Source organism: Homo sapiens, chromosome 1 (genome assembly GCF_000001405.40).
Source record: "Homo sapiens chromosome 1, GRCh38.p14 Primary Assembly".
NCBI classification, from domain to species: domain Eukaryota; kingdom Metazoa; phylum Chordata; class Mammalia; order Primates; family Hominidae; genus Homo; species Homo sapiens.
In genome coordinates this window covers 2,365,984-2,391,372 of record NC_000001.11, presented here as the reverse complement: position 1 = coordinate 2,391,372, position 25,389 = coordinate 2,365,984, and the positions used below count along the sequence as shown (strand labels likewise).

Genomic DNA, 25,389 nt, shown 5'->3' with positions numbered 1-25,389 from the left:
TGCTCACCTCGGAAAGTAGAGGTCCAGGTGCCGCGGCGGAGCCAGGGCCGCCCCCGCGTCCCCCACTCCCACAGGACTCGCCGTGCGCCTCGGGCTCGGCTCGCACCCTTCCCCGAGCCCTCCTCCCGCAGCAGGCCAAGCCCTGCAGGGGGTCGCCCCCCGCGGGCTCCTAGCCGGGAAGACCGGGTTCCGGCCGCAGCCTCACAGCCAGCGGGACCTGGGGTTGCCATGGGGATCCCGAAGCCCAGGACTTGGGGCGAGGGCAGGCGCAGGAGCAGCACCAAGCCTCCTGACTTCCTGGCCGGTGCTGTCCAGAAACGCTAGGACGCGTTTCAAAAGCAGTTTTTGCCTGTACTTCCAGCACTTTGGGAGGCCGAGGCGGGTGGATCACCTGAGGTCAGGAGTTCGAGACCAGTGTGGCCAACATGGCGAAACCCGGTCTCTACTAAAAAATACAAAAATTGGCCCGGGGTGGTGCCTCCTGTAGTTCCAGCTACTCGGGAGGCTGAGGCAGGAGAATCGCTTGAACCCAGGAAGCGGAGGTTGCAGAGAGCCGAGATCGCGCCGCTGCACCCCAGCCTGGGCGACAGAGCAAGACTCAGTCTCAAAAAAAAAAAAAAGAGCAGGTTTTGATAGGAACTGTTTCTAGAATCAAATAAACGGGTCTGGAATGAACTCAGAGCTAACACTACTATCTTCAGGTAGAACCTGACCCTGATTTGGGACAGATACAGTAGCCTGTAGTAACCCCCTGCCCTCCTCCCCGACATTTTCCCATAAACCCTGCCCACAAAATGTGCCTGAGGAGCTGGTAGGGAGGGAGCCCTGCCCATTCCTGGAACTGCAGGAGTTGGCGGGTGGCACACCCAGCAACTAGGAGGAGATGAAGCCGGCCAGGCCATCCTTGGGTATGAGTGTGGATTTTCTCCCCAGCGATAGGAGGCCACTGAAGGGCCACGGCAGGGGATGGGAGAGTCTGCTCCTCCCCTGTGTGCCTCACTGACACTGCCGCTCTGCCTTCCCCTGGCTCACTCATCTCCTGCAACAAGGCTCCCAACCTGCTCCTCACCACCTCCCGAGCACCTCTGGTCTCTCAAGGACCTGCAGTTGTTTCAAGCCAGCCCTCCTCTTACTGGGCCTGTCTTCTCTGCACCAAGTAGGTCCTCATCCTTGTCACATAAACAAATGAGCAAATGAATGGCCCAACAGTCGACAGGAGAGCTCATGAGCCCCACAGGTCGCCTCTGGTCTGCTGAAGGTGACGTGTACCAACCCCTTGAAGGCCCTCAAGGGAGCTGCACTCCCTCCTTCAGCACTGGAGAGCATCCCTCATCTCTGTGTCTGTGCTTACCTGTGTGTGTCTTCTCAATACTCAGGTTATGGTGTCTACGTATACCCAAATTCCTTCTTTCGATATGAAGGAGAATGGAAAGCAGGGAGGAAGCACGGTGAGAAGCATCTGTGGTCTCTTCTTGCAGCTGCTGCCCCACAGCTGACGAAACCAGTTTCTCCCCGGGAGGTTGGGTGGGCAAGTGGCATTTCCTGTAGCTTTCGAGCCCATTGTACCCTGGTGCTTCCCTGGCTGCTCAGGGTAAGGCTGGATGGGCAGGGGAAACAGAGGCCTGGGAGACCCCCCTGGAGGGCCACCTTTAGCAAAGGAAGCTGCGACTTTGAAATTCTCCCTAGAGGTTGAGTTCATTTGTCTTTTCCAGACTGAAAACTGGCTTTATGGTTTATTTCCTATTATAAAGAGAACCTACTCTTGTAGTAAATCCAAGTAATAGAAGAAAGAAAGTGTAAAGTCAAGCCAAGCGCAGTGGCTCACGCCTGTAATCCCAGTACTTTGGGAGGCCAAGGTGGGCGGATCACTTGAGGTCAGGAGTTCCAGAACAGCCTGACCAGCATGCTGAAACCCTGACCCTACTAAAAAGACAATAATAGCTGGTTGTGGTAAGGCACACCTGTAATCCTAGCTACTTGGCAGGCTGAGCCAGGAGAATCCCTTGAACACAGGAGGCAGAGGTTGCAGTCAGCTGAGATTGTGCCACTGCACTCCAGCCTGGGTGACAGACTGAGACTCCGTCTCAAAACAGAACAAAAAAAGCAAGTATAAAGTCGATAACACCTGTACCCCCACCAACCCCAGGCAAGTGCCGTGAACCTTTGGTGGTGTGGACGTTCCCGCCACTGTACTCCTCTCACGCAGTTTTGTATCTGCTCTCTGCCAGTTTTGTTTCTTTTTTCTTTTTTTTTTTTTTTGGAGACAGAGTTTTGCTCTTGTTGCCCAGGCTGGAGTGCAATGCTGCCATCTCGGCTCACTGCAACCTCCGGCTCCCAGGTTCAAGTGATTCTCCTGCCTCAGCCTCATGAGTAGCTGGGATTACAGGCACCTGCCACCACGCCCAGCTAATTTTTGTATTTTTAGTAGAGATGCAGTTTTGCCATGTTGGCCTGGCTGGTCTCGAACTCCTGACCTCAGGTGATCTGCCCACCTCAACCTCCCAAAGTGCTGAGATTACAGGCATGAGCCACTGCGCCCAGCCACTCTGCCTAGTTTTCTTCTCTCTCTCTCTTTTTTTTTTTTTTTTTTTTTTTTTGAGACAGTCTTGCTCTGTCGCCCAGGCTGGAGTGCAGTGATGCAATCATGGCTCTCTGCAGCCTCAACCTCCTGACTCAAGGGATCCTCCCACCTCAGCCTCCTGAGCAGCTGGACCCACAAACACGTACCACCACACCTGGCTAATTTTTAAAATTTTGTGTAGAGACGGGGTCTCTCCGTGTTGCTCAGGCTGGCTGCCTGCACTTCGATTCCTGTGCTTGTTCTGGCTGAAGGCGCCGGCCGCTCAAGCGTGTTTCGGCAGATATTTTTGAGAACATTTTTTTATTTTTAAATACATGTATAGCATGAGTGATGGAGCCAAACACAAGTTTTGAAGCCAAGCTCTTGGTTCTGAGAAACAGGCCCAACACTGCACAGTGTCATTCGCAGTCAACCCAACCACTGTCTGAGTTCACGTGACGATTTCTCCTGCCAGGTCACGGGAAGTTGTTATTTAAAGATGGCAGTTATTACGAAGGGGCGTTTGTGGACGGAGAGATCACGGGAGAAGGCCGCCGGCACTGGGCCTGGTCAGGTGAGCTCTAGCTGGGATGGCACATTCACTCCTTTCTCATAACCCATCGGGCTCAGTTGGTCCGCCGAGTCTAGATGCAGAAGGCGTGACGTGTAGACGGGAAGCTTTGTGCCGTGAGAGGCCTGGCCTACCGAGAAGCCCTGGGGACCTGACTGAGGCTCTGTGGTCACCGCTGAGAGCAACTCAGGCTTCCGGAGACACTTTTCTAGAATAAAGATTTATCTGTCCCAAGTTACACTATTTCTTTTTTATTTAAAGCTATTTCAGCCACATTGTATCCCTAGATGGGAAACCAGCTCTGGGGATTCGTTGCCGGGAGCTGTGTGTCCAGGAACCTCAGACCCTCACGCCAGAGGGGTCGGTGGGTTCTCAGTGGAGGTGTTTTCTCTCAGGCTTGGCTTTCAGTTTTTAAAGAGCCAGGGAAAAACCTCACCCTTCACCCTGCAAACCGACCAGAGGGTCCTTTGCCCTCGGGATAGATGCCCAAAGAGAGTGTCTGCCTGGGGCTGTCTGCATGCCCAGCTGTTGGGGAGACCAGACCTGCTTACCATGTTTTCCCTCATGAAGCAGACTGAGTAGTATGATGGAGGCAGGGACGTCCATTCTGGAATGGTTCCTGCGTGTCATGGGCCAGGGACAGAGGAGAGCCGACTGGGGCCGCAGCCCTGAACTGAACCTCCTGTCTCCCCTCCTCCTTGTCCACATGCAGGAGACACCTTCTCTGGACAGTTTGTTCTGGGAGAGCCTCAAGGCTACGGCGTCATGGAGTACAAAGCCGGCGGATGTTATGAAGGGGAGGTCTCCCACGGCATGCGGGAAGGTCTGGCGCCCACAGGAGCCGGGTGCTGTGAGGGTGGGCGCTTTCAGGACATGGAATCCTACGTCCACTTGGGTTCAGGAACCTCTGAGAGGGCCTGCCTGACTTCAGAGGGTTGGAAAGGAGGTAGGGGGCCCATGCCCTCTTCTCCGCACCACCAGGCCATGTCCTATGCCCGGCATACACCAGTATGCCCAGCGGGTCCTGCGGCGCTTGATGCAGCTCTGTCATCCGCTACCGCGGAACAGACGCCCGTGGCTTAGGGGTTAAAATGGCCACTGCTTTATTAACTGCTCCTGATCCTGGGGTCAGTAGGTTGGCCTGGGCCCTGCAGGGAGGGGCTTCTGGTCTGGTCTATGTGGGGTCACTAAATGGCTATAGTCACAGCAACTCTGCCAGGCCTGAGGGTCCCTGAGGTCCTCATAGGCCTGGGAAGCCCAGCTCCTTGCCCAGTAGTCTTGGACAGCTTAGCCACTTCCTCCACATTCTGTTGGCCCAAGCAAGTCAGGAGGCCAGACTCAAGCCAGGAGGGGGCTGTGCCCTGTCCCTCTACCCAGCCAAGCCAGGCCCAGCACGGGCCGTAGTCCCACAGCCAAAAGGCCACCCGCACCCGAGACAGGAGTCAAGCACATAATACCCTCCACCACAGACGGAGCTTCTTTTTCCAGTGTTTTCCTTATGTTAAGAAGCAGAGGCCAGGCGTGGTAGCTCACGCTTGTAATCCCAGCACTTTGGGAGGCCAAGGCAGGCGGATCACCTGAGATGAGGAGTTTGAGACCAGCCTTGGCAAAATGGTGAAACTCCGACTCTACTAAAAATACAAAAATGGCTGGGCATGGTGGCACACACCTGTAATCCCAGCTACTCAGGAGGCTGAGGCAAGAGAATCACTTGAACCCAGGAGGCAGAGGTTGTAGTGAGCCGAGATCGTGCCACTGCACTCCAGCCTGGTGACAGAGCGGGACTCCGTCTCAAAAGCAAAGCAACGACAACAAAAAAAACAAAAGAAGCAGAAATACTCTCAAATTTCTGAGTTGTCCAAAATCTGAAAATGCCGCAGTTTACGAACCCCCATCCTCTTTTGAGTTTCTCCTCGTTCAGGTCAAGCCCTGCCCTCCTCACTGTGAACTTGAAGTTTCTTGTGAAAACAAACGACAGGCCCAAACTGCACCCATCCTCACCCCAGCAGCACGCAGAGCCTGTGCAGCCTCAGATGGCAGTCCGCAGGGCCCCTCAACCGCACCTTTCAGAACTGGACCCCAGGGCCATTTTTGCTGCCCTGTCAGCTCACCGACCTGTCCCAAAGCACATCTGCCCTTCCCGTTCAGAGCCTCACCGAGCCGTGCTGAGGCCTCTGTGTAGCCAGGTCTGGAGGGTCTGTCATGTTCCTGGGGGGCCCTGAGCCCCATGCCTCCTAGACTTGCTACTTTGCTCCTGCCCGCCCTCCAAGGAGCGGAGGGCAGATCCCTTCTCAGATGCAGGAGGAGGCACAAAGCCAAGTCTGTCTCTCGGTCCCTTCTCCAGGACACGGGTTTCTGGTGGACCGGGATGGACAAGTGTACCAGGGCTCCTTCCATGACAACAAGAGGCACGGCCCTGGGCAGATGCTCTTTCAGTGAGTATGAGTCTTGTGGGTACTGCCTGGCGCATGACAGATACACAGGGCAGGTGTGAGGCCATGTGGCCTGGGGGTGTAGACAGGACTGCCATGGGACACCCCGGGCCTGTTCCGGCCCCTGCTGTCTACCCGCCACCCCCCCAGTGCCAAGTTGTTGAACCACATTCTGTGGTTTCGGTGTTATTCTGTAATTTTCCCCTTGTTTATTGAAATTGACCAATTGTGTGTTTAGATAAAACATCCCCCCCCCCCCCGATTAAAATACCTCCTGAGAACGTCAGGCTGGCGGCAAAGTGGCACCACAGGAGCGTCTCCAGGTCTAAATGAGGATGGGGGTGCTCTCCGGCCAGCAGAGCCTCCCGCCTCCGCCTCCCAAGTGCTAGGCATCTTCAGCCCGTGTGGAAATTCCCACGGCGGAGTCTCAGCCTCACTGGCTGTGGAGACTGCAGCCCCCTCCCGTTGCCTCTCCTGGGTCATTTCCCATTTTGAGTAGCGGAAGCTGAGTGCGTCCCGAGCAGGCCTACCATCTAGGGTGGGGGTGGGCGGACGTGTCCCCACCGCCTGTCGTCGGCCCCCAGCTGGCCCTGGCGAGGCAGGAGCTCTTGGGGCCATCTGCTCGGGCCTATTTTTGCCTCGGTCCCGCAGTGCCTGCGGAGCCCGGTGGGAGGAGCCGGTCTGAGTCACTGCCACCACCCGGCTCCCCCTGTTGAGAGTGGACTCCGTGCGTGTGTCCCCCAGGAACGGTGACAAGTACGACGGCGACTGGGTCCGGGACCGGCGTCAGGGACACGGGGTGCTGCGCTGCGCCGACGGCTCCACCTACAAGGTACCCGGGGGCGCGCGGCACCTGCTGCCCAGAGGGTACAGGCCTCGTGGTGGGCAGGGCGCGTGGGGTGTATGGGGAGCCTCACCCTGGCAGCTTCTCCATGTGCCAGGCCCTGCGATTCCCTGATCCCGTGTGGGAAGATAAGTTTCTCTCTCCCCTCACAGTTCCCTGTTGGGAAAAGAGAAAAACAGGAGTGTATTCATATGTGTGCCTTGTGTATACTCAGGAGGTACGCGGAGAGGCAGGGAAGCTCACAGGCGGCTCTCACTTTTGACTTAAATCCCATCTTCAGCCAAACCAAAGGAAGAAGGGTGCTGGGGGCCAGTCACGGGGATAAGACTGGTGGCGCAGCTGAGGCGGGGCCTTCTCCACCGATGGGAGCCTCTGCGCCTCGGCGATCTGGGGCCTTTCTCTTCCTGGTACGGAGAGGAGATGCCCTTACCGTGGAACTTCCTTTACGGATGCAAATTTTTTCTTACAAAAGGGAGCTTCTCCTGTGTCTGCAGTTTCTCAAAATAATCTGCTCAAAATAGTGCTGATGCCAAAGAGGCAGATTTGGGGGTGGTACATTCTGGTCTGTGACAGGCCCTACAAGGCAGGGACTAGGATTGTTCTCGGGCGAATGGGGCAGCGGCCCCGTGAGTGCAGAGAGCAAATTTCAGGATGTTTGGAGGAGAGGACACCAGACTTGTTGACAGGTTGGATGTGCGGGCAAAGGCAAGAGAAGAGTCAAGGTTGGTGCCTGAGCTTTCGGTCTGAGCATTGGATGGACAGTGGGGCCTGGTTCAGGACACAGTCAGGAGGCAGAAGCAACACCGATCACTCCAATGGGGAAAAATGTAATGAAAAAATCACTAACAAGGACGACTCAGGAGACAGAAACCACACCCATCACTCCAATGGGAAAAACGTAATGAAAGAGTCACCAACAAGGACGAGGCAGCTAGCTACCAAAAAGGGCAGGAGAAGGAAGAGCAACGTCTCAGTGTCAGGAGGGGGCCCGGAGACAGACCCTCTGCGGTGGAGTCTGGGAGTGGTGTGGTTGCTGCTTGGGCTGGGCTGCAGGCCTGAGCTCCTGGCTGGTGGGAAGGGGAGGCTGCTGGTCCACAGTGTGGGGGTGCTTCACGGTTAACCAAGCCATCCCCCATGCTGGGCGTGAGGCACTAGCGGAATTGAGAGCCTCAGAAACCCAGGTGCTGCTGTGTGAGGCTGTCGCAGCCACGAAGATGACCATGACTGCAAGGGCTGTGAGGGGCCCCCTGAGCGTCCAGCAGCACTAACAGATAGGAACCACGCGTGCAGGTCTCTAAACGCAGCGCAGGTCACAGCCTGAGAATCAGGACTGCTGTGGCCGTGGAGAGGAGTCCCTCGTTCCTTAGAGCCTCGGGGCTGCTTTGATGAGAAACGCAACATTTAATTGTGTGGGTCGCAGAATTACAATGTCAGTTGAATTCCCTTCCTTGCCAAGATTCTCCTATGAAAGTTGGAGCAGTGGTTGGAGAGAATGGTCCCTGGAACTAGGAGGAACCCAGCACCCTCCTGAGACTCAGACCTCCACAGAGAGGGTGTGGCTGCCAGCCCAGGTGGTAGAGAGGTTTTCTAGGGTGCCAGGGGCCAAAGCTACTTCTCAGGAAACTCCCCCTGAGGTGCAGGAGACGCTTGCCAGAGACCAGACTCTGGGGTGTTCCACAGGCCACTGGCCCTGGCCATAGGAGTTAAAGTAGAAACACTACCTCCCACAGTCCCGCCTTGTTCTCTGTTGACAAAGCCTGGCATTGCACTTGTTGGCAAAGGAGAAACGTTGACAGGGTCCAGTTCCCGTCAGGCAAAAGTGGGCAAGGAAGGGGGGTGCTGGGAACTGAGAGGTGATGGGTTGGCAGTTGGCATGGGGCCACATGGGGATGGAGGAGTTGGGGGTGGGGATGGGAGACTCATCCTGGCTGGCACAGCTGCCCGCAGCAGGGCCTCAGAGGTGGTCAGATGTGGGGCCCCTGGAGGGGTGGTCAGGCGGGAGGTGCAGTGTGGCTCCCCTCCGCATGCATGTCCACCCTCCCTGCTCTTGAAACAGCATCCTGCTTGGGTAAAAGTGCCACCCATACCCACTCCGGGGTCTGCCAGCCCTGCTCAGGGCAGTTGACCATTGGCAGTGTCCTTGCTGGACCACGGGAGCCCATGTCAGCGTCGTTGCTGCCCCTGCTGGCCTGGGCTGGTGCTGCGGGTTCTCACCTGAGCCATATGCAGGAGATGCTGTAGCCTCTTCTCCCCTGGGGACTTGTGTCCATCCTACAGGACCAGACTTCACCACGTGCTGGGGCAGCCACTGCTCCCTTGTCTTCACTGTCCAGAGTGGCAGTGGGAGAGTGCGCCTAAGGGAGTCCCTGGGCAGAATTCTCTTCTGCCCGCCCCTTCCCACCCGAGCACACCCGGGCCCCCACCCCACTGCCACCATGACGATTCCCTCGCCTTGCAGGGCTAGGGCAAAGCTGGGGCCGGCGCTGGTGCACAGCTCTGGAGCTTGGGCTCGGGTGTGTGGTTTCACTTCCTGGGTGCCAGGCGCTGCTGTCAGCCTTTCGGTGCATTGGCTCATGATCCCCACCAGTCCGAGCAGGGCATAGGTGAGGAAGCTGAGGTGCTAGGATGGCAGGCTCCCTCACCAGGGCAACACAGCCCTGGGGGCCCCCAGCCACTCACCCAATCCTCATGTTCCCTGAGATTCAGGAGGACCTGGTCAGGGCCTGTCTCATGGCCCAGGGACACAGAGGTGCCGCCTGCTGCCAGACAGGGCCATCCCCTCCGGCCTGGGCCGGGCGAGAAGCAGCTCCTGTTCTTCCAGAGGACCATGGACAGCTTTGTCCTCCCCACCCCCACTCCCAGCCTAGCCCTGTCCCCAGAGGCTGTTCTGTCCCACAGGTCCCCTGGCTACTACCCAGGCGCCAACTCGGGTCCACACTGCTTGCTGGTCACCAGCGCCCTGGGCCAAGAGAGAGGACCAGGCAAGGGACGGCGCCCTCCCTCCTGGGCTGACAGCACCAGGGTGCTCAGCGCATCCACCAGGGGGCAGCCCAGCCCTGTCCCGGCACCACACTGGCCCGGGCCTTGCTGGAGGGAGGCAGCTCCTCCCCGGGAGCCCAGAGCTTATTCCCAAGCCATGAGTTTGGACGGGGGAGGATGGCCTGGGATGGCCACTGGGCCCAAGGGCTGGCTGGGTACTCCTGAGAGCCGGGCCCCCAAGCGGCCCCCCAGGCCTTTCTGCTTGGGATGGTTTCTCCCCTTGGTGGTAAAACCTTGAATTCTGCAGAGGGTTTTGCAGAGGATTTCTGCGAGAGTCTTGGTGCCAAACCCTTCGCGTGACCTACATTCCCTGGGGTTATAACATGACCTCCCCACTCCTCTGCCGTCCAGGCCCAGAGGACTGGGAGACCTGGGCAGGCCCTGGGACCGCCTGCCAACCGAGGCCCGCACACCCTCCCCAGGCAGGCCCGTGGCTTGAGCTCCCTGGGGACACTGCTGTGTGCTGGTGCTTGCTGCCCCACGGGGTGCTCTGGGCAGTGTCACTGGTGGCAGCAGTCCCCTGGCCTCGTCCACGCTGCTGACACCTGCAGGCACGGGCAGACCATGGCCAGTGAGCTGCCTGCTCCTCCAGCGCCTTCTCCAGGCATTCCTCCTGCCCAGACCGATGTAGACGCTGAGAAGGGCGCCCGAGGCCAAAAGGACAGGCTGGGCTCCCATCCCCTCAGGTCAGGACTGGGCCGGGGCCGCCTCCCACGCAGCACAGCCGTGGCTGCCAGACCACGCTTCAGAGGCAGGAGGTTTTCACATGGCTGTTTGTGCAAGAAGACATTACCAGGTCTGTCCCTTGGACTCTGGATAATGAGGAGAAGCGAGGCTCTCTTGGCTCAGCTGCTCAGTTCTCTGCTCTGCATCTTAGCGCTGGGCCCTCCGGTCACAGTGCCTCTCCTCCACCTTCAACCTGGAGAGAAAACGGCATCGACCCGGAGAGGCAGCAGCCGCCAGAGACGGGGGTCAGGCCGCACATCCCGAGAGCTGTCCAGAGTGAGGGGACAGCCGTTGCTTGTGGTGTCATTAGTCAAATATTTAGCCCGCTTTAAAAAACATTTTGTCGACCAGGCACAGTGGCTCACACCTGTACTCTCAGCACTTTGGGAGGCCGAGGTGGGAGGACTGCTTGAGCCCAGGAGTTCAAGACCAGCCTGGGCAACACAGGGAGACCCTGTCTCTACAAAAGAAGTTTTAAACAATACAAAATTAGCTAAGCATGGTGGTACACACCTGTGGCCCCAGCTCCTCAGGAGGCTGAGGAGGGAGGATCGCTTGAACCTGGGAGGCAGAGGTTGTAGTGAGCTGAGATCACGCCCACTGCACTCCAGCCTGGGTGACAGAGCAAGACCCTGTCTCAAAAAAATAAAAAACCAAAACACTAACCATTTTGTCATGGTAAAATCCATGTAACGTAAAACTTAGCATCTTAACTACTTTTTGTTTTGAAGAGGCGAGGTCTCACTGTGTTGCCCAGGCTAATCTCCAATTCCTGGGCCCCAAGTGCTTCTGCCTTGGCCCCCAAAGGGCTGGGATTTCAGGCGTGAGCCGCTGCGCTGGGCCGTGACCACTTTTAAGCGTGCAGTGGCGTGGCAGGAGGCACGGGCACATTTCGTGTAGCCACAACCACATCCACCTCCAGAACTTTGTCAGCTTCCCACCCGAACCTCTGTCCCCATCCAGCACGAACTCCCCACGCTCCAACCCCTGGCAGCCACTGTTCCACTGTGTGTTTGTAGACTCTGCTGATCTCAGGGCCTCCTGTGAGTGGTGTCCTTTCGTGCCAGGCTTGTTTCACCCGGCGCGGTGTCCCCAGAAGCCTCCATGCTGGAGCCTGTGCCAGCTCCTCCTTCCTTGCTAAGGCTGAGCCGGGCCCGCACCCCCCACCACCACCACCCCGTGTGGACAGACACGCTTCTCTGCCCATCTGTGGGTGGACTCTGGGGAGGCTTCCCCTCCTGGGTCCTGTGGGTGATGCTGCTGTGAATACGGCTGCACAGAGAACTCTTCAAGGCCCTGTGGGCCACAGCCCCAGAGGTGAGACTGCTGCATCGGATGGTGATTCTGTTTTTAATTTTTGAGGAACCGCCATGCTGTTCTCCACAGCGGCCTCACCCTTTTACCTTCCTGCCCACAGTGCACACAGTTCCAGTTCCTCCCCAGCCTCACCAACACTGGTTATTTTCTGTTATTTTTGTAAAAGGTTACCCTAATGAGTTTAGCCCTCTTAACAATAACCACAATTGAGATGCAAGCCCACCCACTGTCAGCCGTGGCCACCACTGCGCACCCGGTCTCCCCCTCTTTGACGCTTCTTGGCAGCTGTAGTCTCCCCCAGTCCTGGCCACCAGCTGCCCCCACCCGTGAGCACCTGCCCCTCACCATGTTTGGTGCTGCCAGGCTTTGTGGAGTGCCTTTGTGCACAGGAGTTTGGCCTTTTGACTTCTTCCCTGGGAGCTTAAACCATCGATCAGGGCCACGAGGTAGGCGCTGGGACCTTCTTGGACACTGAGTTGCCTCTTAGAACTGCCCTGCCCCTCCAGCCACACCCCAACCAGCGCCGGCTGTTCGTTTATTTTTAGAGATCATTTTATGTTCTGAAAAGACTAGAAAGTGGTAAGTCCTTTCTTCTCTCTCTCCTGGCCTTCACCTCTGCCCACCTCGGATCATGCCCTTGGCACCTCCTACATCAGCTCTGATCCACCCATCTATAGTAGGAGAAACTCAAGGAGACATCGGCTGCTACCCAGGCACCATGAGCTCAGGGTTGGTGAGGCCCCTCCGGGAGACCTGTTCTCCCTCTCGACAGCAGGTGTGTTTTCTGCAAACCGTGTCTCCTGCCTTGCAGCCAGTATTCCTTAATGCAAAGCTCTATGAAGAACCTTTTTTTAAAAATGCATTCTAGAAAAAAATGCATTCCTGAAAATAAACGTGTTACAGCTTCTTCTGACGGAAAATAAGAACAGCGGATCCCAAAGCAGAGAAGGCTCCTCTTCCACAGGGACAGGAGCCACGCGGCTCAGGCCGGTCCCGGAAGCCACAGAGGTCCTGGGCCACGAGCACCCCCACCAGCCTGTGACGCCTCAGCCATCTCCGTCCCCCACACTCCTAGTTTACAGCTTACTGCTCGACCTCCCAGGACCCGAGGGCTTGGGCAGGCCCCACACGTCCTCCAGAACATCCTCGGTGGGAGACGGAGCAGACAGAGTAGAGGCCACACGTGTGTGTGCACATCAGAGTGTCTCCTACCCATGTTGGCAGCAGCGCGGCCCTCCGGGCATCCCTGGCTGTATCAGCTGCGCCGTGAGTGTTGGCTGTCTCACACGCCAGCTTTCCCGGAGTTGCCGCTGGGTGCCGAGCACCTGCTCACTGCACGGAGCAGGTGGCTCCTTCTGGGCGGCTTTGCCTGCCGCAGTCCCCGAGCCTCCTCTCCTCAGCTGGGCGTGTGTGGGAATGCCCAACCGGGGGCCTCCACGGGGCCTATAGCCTCCACGTTTGGGCCTACTGCCCTTGGACCCAGGGGTCACAGTCCAGGAAGCCTGGGCCAGTGGGGGACTCCTGGGGTGCATGTAACACTGAGAATCATGTAGATAATTTGGGGTGTTTGAGCACGCATGGCCTGTGGGGAGTCTGGCCGGCTTGCCTCATGTGGACCCCCCACCACCCTGGGGCAGAGGAGGGGGCCGGCTGTTGGGGCCGTCATGGAAGCACTAGGGTTACACTAGGGCAGGCCCCATGTCCCCTCTGGAACTCCTCACAGTTCACACCTTGAAGCCCAGGCACTTGCGATGGGACCAGCGAGGTCAAATGCAGGACCCCTGGTCCTCACTGTTACCATGAAGTGATGCAAATGGCCGGTCTTCAGAAACCAGAGCTAGCCCCACCCGTGCCACCAAGGCACACCAGCCCCTGAGCAGTCGCAGGGCCCAGGCAGAAGGGTCCGGCAGGCTCCTCACTCATGACGTGGCCTGAGGGGGCTGGGCAGCTGGTCCTCGGAGCCCCCACCTGGTGCACCAGGCCGTGAACCTCAGCAAAGGCCCCGTCTCTTGATGCCCAAGGTTTGGCAATGGTTGGGGGTTACTTTCTCCAGACCACAGCACCCTCGAGGCCAACACTGGGGAAAGCTGGAGCCCCTGCTCTTCACCCCCACCTCCCAGGGCTGTTGAACCCCAAGGAGCACCAGACCCAGGACCCCCCCAGGAGGGCCAGAGGCAGGAAGTGCCTGATGGTGCCAGGGGAGGGTGGATGCCTGACTAGGGCCTGAAAACAGAGGGCATAGCTTCCAATAAAGCATGGAAAGAAAACAGCATGAATGGACCAGAAGTGCTTCCCATTGGGAGAAAGAAGAGCACTCACAACCTCTTCTGCCCCAGGCTGCTTGGAGTGGGCCAGCGCCAGAGCAGTCCCTGCACCAGCCGAGCCGTCCGAGCTTGTCGACTATCAGGGAAGGTGTGAGCCTTCGGCTGAGTGGTGCTGGGAGCTGGGGAGAGCCGAGCACTGCCCGGGGCCTCCTGAGTGCTCTGCCACCCGGCTGGGCAGGGAAGGGAGGGCCCCTCACAGAGGACACCCTTGTGGTCCTGGGGTCGCCTTTGTGACCGAGGGGGACGTATGTGTGTCACCATCATCCTGCACGACTGCTTCCTGACTTTGGAACCGCTGTTTGCCTCTGTGTTTTGGGTGTGGACCTGGACCCCAGTGGCCCTTCCCCAAAGGTCGTGTGACCACCACCACCTTCCCGTGTCCCGTACCGCACACCTGTGCTCACCTGGGTGCCAGGCAGTGGCCCAGCAGGGAGGAGGAGGGTGAGCAGGTGGCAAAATGCCCATTCCTCGGTCCCAGCCTGTGTGTGGCTGAGGCCCCGCACGTAACTCTCCACGCTGGGCATCGGCCTGGACTGTGCCTGGGTGCTCCCTGAGGCCCGGGTGGGAGGCAGCTGCTCCAGGACTCTCAGTGTCCCAGTCTGTGCCGTCAGCAGGAGGATCAGGAGCCTCCCCTGCACCCTATTTAATAAGCTCTTGCTCGTTCCTGCTTGGGGTACATGAAACAGAAACAGCCGAATTGTCAAAGGTGTGATTGATAACGTGAATTAGACAAGACCGGGCTATTGGATCAGTTGAATTGATCACTCAAATGTGCTTGGACTGACCAAGTGCTGCATGAAAGCTTGCCTGGCTCAGCCCTCCCACCCGGACACCAGCGGTGGGTACCGAGGATGCCAAGCCCTGACCTGATTGCTGCGCACCCAGGGAGGGGGATGCCAGGCAGGCTCGTGCCACATACGTGAGCCGCAGCCCCAGACCAACCATGGGAGGAGCCACTCACCCCAAAGGCGGGCTCTGCACCTCTGCATTTCTCATGACTCGAGTGTGTCTGGCTTCCCCTGCCCAGCCACAGCCTCACTGGGTACTCACCCTGGACGCCATATTGCAGCTGGTGTCAGCCCTGCCCCGCAGCTCCACCTCCCTCCTCCTGAAAGCCCGGGGCACCTTCCAGAGGCCGAGCAGGTGGAAGGGGGCAGAGACCAGACATCGCCATTCTCATCACTGACGGTGACGGGGGCCCCGGACGCCCTGAAGAGCCCTCAGCTGTGCGCTGACTCGCGCCTCTCCCCGTCCAGCGTGAATGAGATGAGAGACAGTGAGGACAATGGTCCCAGGAAGGGACCCTCAAGAGATGCCAATCAAATGCGTTGGACTCTCACCCAGTTTGGTGGGAACGTCTGGAGTCATAGGACAGAGAGCTGAGGGGGCAAGGCTGAGGGGAGGTGCTCTGTGGATGCAAGGGTGCCCACGGCCTCCAACAGGGCATGGCATGGCCTCCAGGCATGCCGTGCAGCAGCAGTCAGGGCAGCCCATGGACTCTGCGCCAGTCCTTGGTAGCTGAAGCCCAGAACCACTCTCACCTGACCCCACATGTGGTCAGCTCTGGGGCCCCCATCCACTGTAGTTGCCAGTGTGGATGGTGCTTGCCCAGAGCCCAGGGTGGCACGGTGAACCGGACTCTGATCTTCAGGGCAACTGTCTAGGCCGATGGGGTGACGTCAGTGGTGCGCTCAGCTTGGAACACTGCAGGAATGCAGCCGGGTGGGTGCTGGCTGGGATCTTGGGGTCTGGGAGCTGGAGGAACAAGAGCCTCAGGAGCAAGGGCCCTGTCCAGACAGCAGCCGGGCCTCTGCCCACCTGGCACCCCGAGCTGGCTGCCCAGCCTCTCCTGAAGCTGAGAGCTGCCTTTTTGCTGCCTCCGGGCACCCACGCGGGCTGCCAGTTGTCTCGGATCGGAGCCCCCTGCCTGGAGGCGTGAGCCGTGCTCCCAGCCAGCAGCTGTGAGTTGCCCCCACCCTGCCCCAGCCCTTCATGTACTGTGGCTCTCCCTGGCCTTTGGGGCAATCCAGTCGCCTTCAGGACTGTCTGCAGAGGCCCTGTCTCCCTGCAGCCAGAGAGAGCTCCAGCGCCATCCACTTGTCCCTGATCTGCCACACTCCTCAGCCCTGGCCCTCGGCCCTCGCTGTCTCTTCCCACACATCCCAGGGCCCAGGATCCGTGGAGAAGCCCCAGAAGGCACACGCTGCGCCCTGCAGACCTGCCACCGCTGCCTCGGGGTTCCCCTGGGAAAGGCACCCAGGGAGGGCCGGGCAGGGAAGCAGGAGCCCACTTGGCTCCTGCCAGAGAGTGAACAGAAGCAAAACGTGCCTTTGGTTAATTTTTCTTCTAATAGAAGTAATTCAGAGTCAAATGAAATACCATTTAAATTTTCCATGAAAATAATCACCCTGCTATTTCACATGATTTTCCCAGGCTTTGTTGTATGACTTGGAAACCAGGCTTGTTATGAAGGAGGCAGAGTTGGGGTGTACAGCGAACAGGCATTTCTCCCAAGCTCACGGGCACATTTTTTCAAACTGTGTTTTTTAATTGGCCTCTTCATGTATAAATGAACAGTGTAACGGACAAGCAGGGCACCTTAATCCCAACGCCACAGTCGGCCAGTTTGCGGGTTCAGGCCTCCTTTATGATACATGCCACAAACACAATATCTTTGTATTAAAAGGATTTTTTTTTTTTGCTGAAATGTGCCCCTTCGAGGTTTTGTTTGCATTTTATATACTGTGCCGTTGTTCCCATACCTCCTGGCATCGTTAAAATTCCAAAGGGAGTATATTTTGCAAAGCAAATTGGATTGCATTCTAATGAAACAGTTTCTCACCACCGAGGGACAGGCTGCAAGGACCCTCGAGACGATGTGGTTTTCTAGCAGCCTTTGGTCCTGGGGCCCTGCTGTAGCACCAGGAAGCTGCAGTGCCATGCGGGGACCCACAAAAGCCCCTTGGGAGCCACCAGCCTGAGCCTCACCCTTCTCTCTGCAGGGACAGTGGCACAGCGACGTCTTCAGTGGACTGGGCAGCATGGCCCACTGCTCAGGGGTCACCTATTATGGGTTGTGGATCAATGGCCACCCAGCAGGTAGGTGTCCCTGCCTTCCTGTGGGCACTGTGAGGTCCACTGTGGGGTGTGTCCCTGGCCCCCGGGCAGCCATATGGGAAACACTGACCAAGAGCACACTGGGGAGGGGTGGGGCAAAGTGGAATATAAAACCCCACCCCTTTTAAGGAAAAACATGTTCTAATCTGATGTCAAAAGTGGTCCTGCTGCAAGTGGGGCTTCCCGGACTTGGGGCCTGAGTGTCTGGGGGTGGCCTCGTCATGGCTGCGCTGTCCCCCAAGTGGCCTCTGTCCAATTTCCCTGAGCCCTCTGCACTGTGATGTGGCCACAGGGTGGCCTCGGCTCACAGAAGGACCAGCCAGTTGGGCCTCCTCTGGGGGCTGCCTCCCGAGCCACCCTCCCTCTCCCCATGGTGTTCCTGGTGGCCTCTGGGTGGCCTCTCAATAGATTCCAGGATGAGGGTGCCACCCCAGGGGTCAGTCTAGCCAGGGACACAACACTCATCCAAACCTCGGGGCCAAGTTCACGACACAGGTGCAGGTGCCGCCAGCACCGACTCTGGCCCTGCGCCGGGGCACCTGCAAGGTCTCAGCCCAGGCAGCCCCACACATACCTCCTGGGTTGGAGGACCTTGGGGGACCAAGACCTGTTAGCTGGGAGAGGTCACAGGGGTGACGGGTGACAGTAACTGCTGCCCTCAGCACAGACCCGCTGGCCCCGGGCTCCTCGTGGAGGCTGAGATCTTCGGGAAGGCAGGAGTGGCCAGGTGCCTGGGGAGCACTGAGAGGTGGGTCCCAGCACCCGCACGCACACAGTGCACCCTGCAGGGGATCCTGGGATGGAGGCCGAGCCTGGGTCCCGGCCCAGGTGCTTCTCCCTCAGGTGGAGTCTCCGTGAGGGGCCCCTGGATCCTCAGCAGAGCCCTCCAGGAGTGTCTTGGTGACCTCACCTCAAGGGAAAGAATCCAGATCCCAGCCCCTCCTCCCAAAAAAGTCTCTTGGCCCTTGTTGAAATTTCTAGGTGGGAAAAACGGGGCAAGAGGTGCAGGACGCAGTCTGGCTTCACCCCGAGGAGGGTCTCCCTCCGAGCCAAGGTGGGCTCTGGCTTTGCCCCCAGAACACAGCAGGAGCTCCCACAGGGGCCAGAGCTTCAGGCCCTTCCCCAGCCCCACCATTACCATGAAGTCCGGGGCACCCGCCACCCTGTGCACCCGGCATCGCCTGTGCTGCCTTTTGAGGCAGCCTCAGATCCCAGGTGTTCTCTCAGCATCTGCTTTTAAAGCCCCTCCATTGTGCTTTGCTGGAGGCCAATCCATAGGGGAGAGTCAGGGATGGCAGGTGGGGGCAGGGGCGGTGGGCAGCAGGATGCGGTGTGACGACACCACCCACAGCGATGCCCTGCAGGCCCCGGTGGAGCAGGGGCGGCCCTGGCTGCCAGGAGGCACTGGCCAGCCGGTGGACCCACCCTTGCCAGGCCTTGCCCTAGTCCCAGGTCCAGCACCTCAGGGTGCTGACTCAGATGCAGGGAATGCAGGGCCTAAATCCCGACCAGCGGGAAGACGTGCGGGAACATTCCACGGGCAGGAAAACCCAACAGCCCCACACCGCCCACTTGTGTCTCTTGCATGCTCCGTGGCCCCGGTGGTCCACTTGGTTCGATTCCACAGTGCTCCAGGCCAGCAGAGCCGAGCCTCACGGTCTGAGTGTGGACGACTGCCCAGGTCGCTGCTCTGCAAGGTGGTTTGCGGAGGGTCGGCCCCCGCATGTGCTTGTGTTCCAGCTGCCACACTGGGCTCTGGTCGGTTCCTGGGGTGCCCACTGCTGACTCAGCCATGGGGTGGGTGGGGGACCATGCCAGTCACCGCTAAAGCCACACTCTGTCCTCTCCCAGAACAAGCTACGAGGATCGTGATCTTGGGTCCGGAGGTGATGGAAGTGGCCCAAGGGTCTCCCTTCTCGGTGAACGTTCAGCTGCTGCAGGACCACGGGGAAATTGCCAAGAGTAAGCATCTCCAGGGGGAGATGACCTAACGTTTCCAAAAGAGAAACAGGCAGCAGGTTCTTAAGCAGTGAAGATGCGGACGAGATGTTGCATGTGGCTCCTGAGGCACAGCAGTGACTTCGTGCCCAGAGCCTGGCAGAGAGGTCGCAGGTGTGCCAGCTTCCCTGCCAGTCAGGGCAGCCTTGGGTGTGTGTGCAAGCATGTGTGCACATATTGTGTGATGTGCGTGCTCCTGTATGTGTGTGCATATGTGTGTATGCCTTGCACAGGTGTGCACAGGTCTGAATGTGTATACGTGTGGGGGGGCACGCGTGCACGTGTGTCAGAGTGTCCTTCCTTTTTAGGAGGAACAGTCTTCCATTCTAGTGAGGGGCTACTTTCTGCTTCCCCACTCATCCGCTGCTGGCCATCGCAGTTGTTTGTACCTTGGGCTGTTATGAATAGTGCTGCTGTGGACATGTGTATACAAGTTTTTGTGTGAATGTGTTTTCATTTCTCATGGGTATGCACCTATGAATGGAATTGCTGGATCACATGGTAGATTTATGTTTGAACTTTTTTTTTTTTTTTTTGAGATGGAGTTTCACTCTTGCTGTCCAGGCTGGAGTGCAGTGGTGCAATGTCGGCTCTCCGCAACCTCCGCCTCCCGCGTTCAAGTGATTCTGCCTTGGCCTCCTGAGTAGCTGGGATTACAGGCATGTGCCATCATGCCCCACTAATTTTGTATTTTGAGTAGAGATGGGGTTTCGCCATGTTGGTCAGGCTGGTCTCGAACTCCCGACCTCAGGTGATCAGCCCGCCCCAGCCTCCCAAAGTGCTGGGATTACAGGCGTGAGCCACCGCGCCTGGCCTAAACTTTTAAAGAAACTGCTAAACTGTTTTTCCAAAATTGCTGCAGCATTTTACAGTCCCACCAGTAATGCATGAAGGTTCAGATTTCTCTGCGTCTTCCCAACACTTGGAATTGTGTCTTTTTGTAATAGCTGCCCTGTGGGTGTGAAGTGATAGCTCCTCGTGATTTTGATTCGCATTTCCCTAACGAGTGATGACGATGAGTGGCTCTCGCTGTGTTGATTGGCTGTTTGTTTATCTTCTTTGGAGAAATGTCTATTCAAATATTGTACCCATTTTTTAAAAATTAGACTATCAGTCAGGCACAGTGGCTCACACCTAAAATCCCAGCACTTCGGGAGGCTGAGGTGCGAGGATCACTAGAGCCCAGGAGATCTTTCTTCTTGGTGTTGTTGTTGTTGTGGTTGTTGTTGTTGTTTGGAGACAGAGTCTCGCTGTGTCACCCGGGCTGGAGTGCGGTGGCACGATCTCGGCTCACTGCAAGCTCCGCCTCCCAGGTTCAAGCGATTCTTCTGCCTCAGCCTCCCGAGTAGCTGGGACTACAGGCGCCCACCACCACGCCCAGCTAATTTCTTGTATTTTTTTTTAGTAGAGACGGGGTTTCACCGTGTTGGCCAGGATGGTCTCGATCTCCTGACCTCGTGATCCACCCGCCTTGGCCTCCCAAAGTGCTGGGATTACAGACGTGAGCCACCGTGCCCGGCCAAGTCCAGGAGATCAAGACCAGCCTGGGCAATATAGTGAGACCCCATCCCTAAAAAAAAAAACCAAAATTGTTTTTAATTAGCTGGTCATGGTAGTGCATGCGTGTGGTCCCAGCTACTCGGAAGGCTGAAATTGGGAGAGTCCCTTGAGCCCAGCAGGTTGAGGCTACAGTGAGCCCCGTGACTGCACCACTACACTCTAGCCTGGGTGACAGAGGGAGACCCTGTCTCATTTAAAAAAAAAAAAAAAGAAGAAAAAAAAATGAAAAAAAGGTTGTCTTCTTATTTTTAGCTATAGAGTTCTTTACCTATTGCGGATATAAGTCCTTTATCAGATATGTCTTTGCAAATGCTTTCCGTCCACCTACGGCTCATCTTTTCATTTGCCTAATGCTATCTTTGGAACAGCAAAAGTTTTTCATTTTGCTGAAGTCCAGTTTGTCCATTTTTTCTTTTATGGAGCATAGTTTTGGTACCGTATTTAAGAATTCTTTGCCTAACCCAAGTTTCACAAAGATTTTCTCGTATCCCTCCAGAACTCTTATAGTTCTAGCTCTTACATTTAGGCCTGGGATCCAGTGTGAGTTATTTTTTATGGAAAAGATAAAGTTCTAAATTCATCTTTTCTTCATGGGGATGTTCAATCATCCCAGCATCATTTGTTGAGAACACCGTCCTTTTGCCGTTGAGTTGCCCTGGCACCTTGGTTGAAAATCAGTCAGCCCTAAGAGTCAGGGTTGATGCCTGGACCCCCCGTCTGCTCCACTGATCTGTCTATCCTGATTTATCCTCAGTCTATGCCAGGGCCACGCTATCTGGATTCTTGTTGCTTTTAGCACGTTTTCCAATTGGAGAGTCCTCCAGTTTTGTTTTTCCTTTTCAAAATGATCTTGACTCTGCTGGGACCTTTACATTTCTGTATAAAATTTTAAGATCAGTTTGCCAACTTCTGCAACAACAACAAAAGAAGGCTGCTGGAATGTTGATGGAGGTGCGTTGAACCCCTCTGGAGAGAATGTCCAGATGAAATCTTACCAACACTGAGGCCTCCATCTCATGAACACAGAAGCATCTCTCCATTTAGGTAGAGTTCTTACTTTATCACCAGCGTCTTGTTCCTTTCAGCACACATCTTGCACTTCTTTGTGAAAGCTATTAATACATAATAATGTTATTTATTAGATATTGAATTATAATTATTTTATTAATTATTTCTAAATGCTGATAAATTTGTTTATTCTTTTTATGCCATCATGAGTAGAATTTTCTTAACTTCATTTCAGAGGTTGCCGTAGACTACAATTGATTTTTACATATTGACCTCATTTCCTTTGACTTGCTTTACTCATTTATTAGTTCTACTAGTTTCTTAGAGGATTCCTTAAGATTTTCTCTATATACGATCATATTGTTTATAAATAAATACAGTTTTACTTCTTCCTTTTCAGTCTGAACATGAAAAGCTGCAAGGTTTTTACATTACCTCCAGCAATGAAAGAGGGTTCCAATGGCTTTACACCCTCCTCAGTACTTGCTATTGTCTGTCTTCTTTTTTTTTTTTTTTTTTTTCTGAGACTGAGTTTTGCTCTGTCATCCAGGCTAGAGTGCAGTGGCTCAATCTCGGCTCACTGCAAGCTCCACCTCCTGGGTTCACACCATTCTCCTGCCTCAGCCTCCTGAGTAGCTGAGACTACAGGCGCCTGCCACCATGCCCGGCTAATTTTTTTGTATTTTTTTAGTACAGACAGGGTTTCACCCTGCTAGCCAGGATGATCTCAATCTCCTGACTTCTTGATCCACCACCCTCGGCCTCCCAAAGTGCTGGGATTACAGGCATCAGCCACTGCCCCCCGCCTTTTTTTTTTTTTGAGACTGGGTCTTGCTTTATTGTCCAGGCTGGAGTGCAGTGGTGCAATCTCAGCTCACTGCAACCTCTGCTTCCCGGGCTCAAGCGATTCTCCTGCCTCAGCCTCCCAAGTAGCTGGCACTACAGGCACCCACCACCACGCCCAGCTAATTTTTGTATTTTTAGTAGAGACAGGGTTTCACCATGTTGGCCAGAATGGTCTCCATCTTCTGACCTTGTGATCCACCCGCCTCAGCCTCCCAAAGTGCTGGGATTACAAGCATGAGCCACCGTGCTGGCCTGTCTGTCTTTTGGATGTAGCCATCTTTGTGGGTGTGAAGTGGTGCCTTCTTGTGGTTTGGATTTACATTTCCCTAAAGGCTAATGATGTTGAGCATCTTTTTGTGTGCTATGGGCCATTTGTAGATCTTAGTTGGAGAAATGGAGATAAGAGGCAGAACTTGACTCCAGAAGTGGGGCTCAGACACAAGACCAAATTGAGGACTAGATAAAACAGGGTCAGGGAGGAAGCAGCCTTCCATAAGACACGCCCACCAACGCATCATGCCAGTTTACCATCACCATGGCAACACCTGGGAGTTACCACCCCTTTCCATGGCAATGGCCTGATGACCCAAAAGTTACTGCCGCTTCCCTAGAAATGTCCACATAAACCACCCCTTGATCTGCACGCAGTTAAAAGTGGGTATAAATATGACTGCGACACTGCCCTGAGCTGCTGCTTTCTGCCTGGGGGGCAGCCCCGCTCTGCAGGAGCTGTAGCCCTGCCGCTTCCATACCTCCCATTCACCCTTAAATCCTTCCCTGGCCAAAGCCAAGAACCCTCACAGGCTAAGCCCTGCTGTAGAGCTCACCTGCTCTGCATCAAGATGTCGTAAGAGTTCTTGACATATTCTAGACACAAGCCCCTTATCAGATATCTAATTTGCAAATACATTTTTCCATTTTGTGGGCAGTCAGACAGTTTCTTGCTGGTGTCCTTTGAAACACAAAAGTTTTAAGTTTCGATGAAACCCAATTCTCTCTTTTTCTTTTTGTTGCTTTTGATGTCATATCTATGAAGACTTTGCTTAGTCTGGAGTCATGGAGATTTACTCCTGTGTTTTCTTTTAAGAATTTTATATTTTTAGGCCAGGCACGGTGGCTCACGCCTGTAATCCCAGCACTTTGAGAGGCCAAGGCAGGTGGATCACCTGAGGTCAGGAGTTCAAGACCAGCCTGGCCAACGTGGCAAAACCCTGTCACCACTAAAAAATACGAAAACTAGCTGGGCATAGTGGCGGGTGCCTGTAGTCCCAGCTACTTGAGAGGCTGAGGCAGGGAGAATTGCTTGAACCCAGGAGGCAGAGGTTGCAGTGAGCCGAGATCACGCCACTGCACCCCAGAGCAAGACTCCATCTCAAAAAAAAATGACATATTTTTAGCTCTTACATTTAGGACTGTGAACCGTTCGGTATTAATCTTTTTGTTTGGTGTAAGGAAGGGGTCCAACTGCTGTATATTCCTTTGAATGTGGGTATCTATTTGTCTTAAGATCATTTGTTAAAAAGAGTATTCTTTCCCCAATTATCTTTTTGTTTGTTTTTGTAATTTTTTTTTTTGTAGAGACAGAATCTCACTATGTTGCCCAGGCTGGTCTCAAACTCCCAGGCTCAAGCGATCCTCCCACCTCAGTCTCCCAAAATACTGGGATCACAGGCATAAGCCACCAAGCCTGGCCTTTTTTCTTTTTCTTTTTTTTTTTTTTTTTTGATAGAGCAATGAATTATCTTGTCCTTCAGTTTGCTAAAGTTTTTTTGGGAATTTCTGCATCCCTGTTCGTGAAGGATATTGGCATGAAATTTTCTTTTCTTGTAATGTCTTTGTCTAGTTTTGCTATCAAGGTAATGCTGTCCTCATAGAATGAGTGAATTGGGAAAAATTCTCTCTTCAATTTTCGGGAAGAGTTTGTGTGCACTTGAGAAGAATGTGAATTTTGTTGTGTACAATATTTTATAAATCAGGTCAATTTTGTTGATATTATTGTTTTTCTACGTATTTTTCTATGTATTTTTCTATGTGTTTTTCTATGTATTTTTCTATGTATTTTTCTATGTATTTTGTTGATATTATTGATATTCTGTGTATGTATGTATACTATGTCCTTGCTGATTTTCTGTCTGCTTGTTTTATCAGTTATTGAGAGTAGCATATTGAAATATCTGACTATGATAGATTTGCCTTGCTGGGTGCAGTGCCTCATACCTGTCATCCTAGCATTTTGAGAGGCTGAGGCGAGCACATCACTTGAAGTCAGGAGTTTGAGACCAGCCTGGCCAACATGGTGAAGCCCCATCTCTACTAAAATCTCTACTAAAAATACAAAAATTAGCCAGGCATGGTGGTTCACACCTGTAATCCCAGCTACTTGGGAGGCTGAGGCAGGAGAATTGCTTGAACCTGGGAGGCGGAGGTTGCAGTGAGCTGAGATCGCACCACTGTACTACAGCCTGGGTGACAGAGCAAGATCCTGTCTCAAAACAAGCAAACAAACAAAAGATTTGCCTATTTCTGCTTTTATTTTTTTTTTAATTTTATTATTATTATACTTAAAGTTTTAGGTACCTGTGCACAATGTGCAGGTTAGTTACATATGTATACATGTGCCATGTTGGTGTACTGCAACCATTAACTGGTCATTTAGCATTAAGTATATCTCCTAAAGCTATCCCTCCCACCTCCCCCCACCCCACAACAGTCCCCAGAGTGTGATGTTCCCCTTCCTGTGTCCATGTGTTCTCATTGTTCAATTCCCACCTATGAGTGAGAATATGCGGTGTTTGGTTTTTTGTTCTTGCGATAGTTTACTGAGAATGATGATTTCGAATTTCATCCATGTCCCTACAAAGGACACGAACTCATCATTTTTTATGGCTGCATAGTATTCCATGGTGTATATGTGCCACATTTTCTTAATCCAGTCTATCATTGTTGGACATTTGGGTTGGTTCCAAGTCTTTGCTATTGTGAATAGTGCCGCAATAAACATACGTGTGCATGTGTCTTTATAGCAGCATGATTTATAGTCCTTTGGG

At 54.8% G+C, this 25,389-nt stretch overlaps 1 protein-coding gene across 3 annotated transcripts in view, besides 6 other annotated features; it reads left to right on the top strand.

Moving 5' to 3' along the window:
• MORN1 (MORN repeat containing 1) overlaps positions 1–25,389 on the top strand; it is a 70,302-nt gene that overhangs the window by 182 nt on the left and 44,731 nt on the right. For 2 of the 3 annotated variants that reach the window (NM_024848.3, NM_001301060.2), the window contains exons 2-8: positions 1,377–1,448; positions 3,036–3,134; positions 3,844–3,954; positions 5,476–5,566; positions 6,308–6,395; positions 16,816–16,912; positions 18,782–18,892. In NM_024848.3, the coding sequence (NP_079124.1) occupies positions 1,377–1,448; positions 3,036–3,134; positions 3,844–3,954; positions 5,476–5,566; positions 6,308–6,395; positions 16,816–16,912; positions 18,782–18,892 (669 nt within the window). Of the gene's footprint in view, positions 1–1,376; positions 1,449–3,035; positions 3,135–3,843; positions 3,955–5,475; positions 5,567–6,307; positions 6,396–12,145; positions 12,265–12,392; positions 16,521–16,815; positions 16,913–18,781; positions 18,893–25,389 lie in introns of those variants that run through there. The other variant, NR_125361.2, reaches the window with a different exon arrangement.
• Positions 117–246: a silencer, noted in NCBI's record as "silent region_113". NCBI's record gives its function as "represses an Ori minimal core promoter by ATAC-STARR-seq in GM12878 lymphoblastoid cells {active_cell/tissue: GM12878}" and the evidence as "EXISTENCE:reporter gene assay evidence [ECO:0000049][PMID:35858748]".
• Positions 2,573–2,742: a silencer, noted in NCBI's record as "silent region_112". NCBI's record gives its function as "represses an Ori minimal core promoter by ATAC-STARR-seq in GM12878 lymphoblastoid cells {active_cell/tissue: GM12878}" and the evidence as "EXISTENCE:reporter gene assay evidence [ECO:0000049][PMID:35858748]".
• Positions 2,803–2,922: an enhancer, noted in NCBI's record as "active region_56". NCBI's record gives its function as "activates an Ori minimal core promoter by ATAC-STARR-seq in GM12878 lymphoblastoid cells {active_cell/tissue: GM12878}" and the evidence as "EXISTENCE:reporter gene assay evidence [ECO:0000049][PMID:35858748]".
• Positions 3,033–3,202: an enhancer, noted in NCBI's record as "active region_55". NCBI's record gives its function as "activates an Ori minimal core promoter by ATAC-STARR-seq in GM12878 lymphoblastoid cells {active_cell/tissue: GM12878}" and the evidence as "EXISTENCE:reporter gene assay evidence [ECO:0000049][PMID:35858748]".
• Positions 3,263–3,312: an enhancer, noted in NCBI's record as "active region_54". NCBI's record gives its function as "activates an Ori minimal core promoter by ATAC-STARR-seq in GM12878 lymphoblastoid cells {active_cell/tissue: GM12878}" and the evidence as "EXISTENCE:reporter gene assay evidence [ECO:0000049][PMID:35858748]".
• Positions 15,944–16,138: a silencer, noted in NCBI's record as "fragment chr1:2306674-2306868 (GRCh37/hg19 assembly coordinates)". NCBI's record gives its function as "represses an EF-1alpha promoter that drives an FKBP-Casp9 reporter gene in an ReSE screen in K562 erythroleukemia cells {active_cell/tissue: K562}" and the evidence as "EXISTENCE:reporter gene assay evidence [ECO:0000049][PMID:32094911]".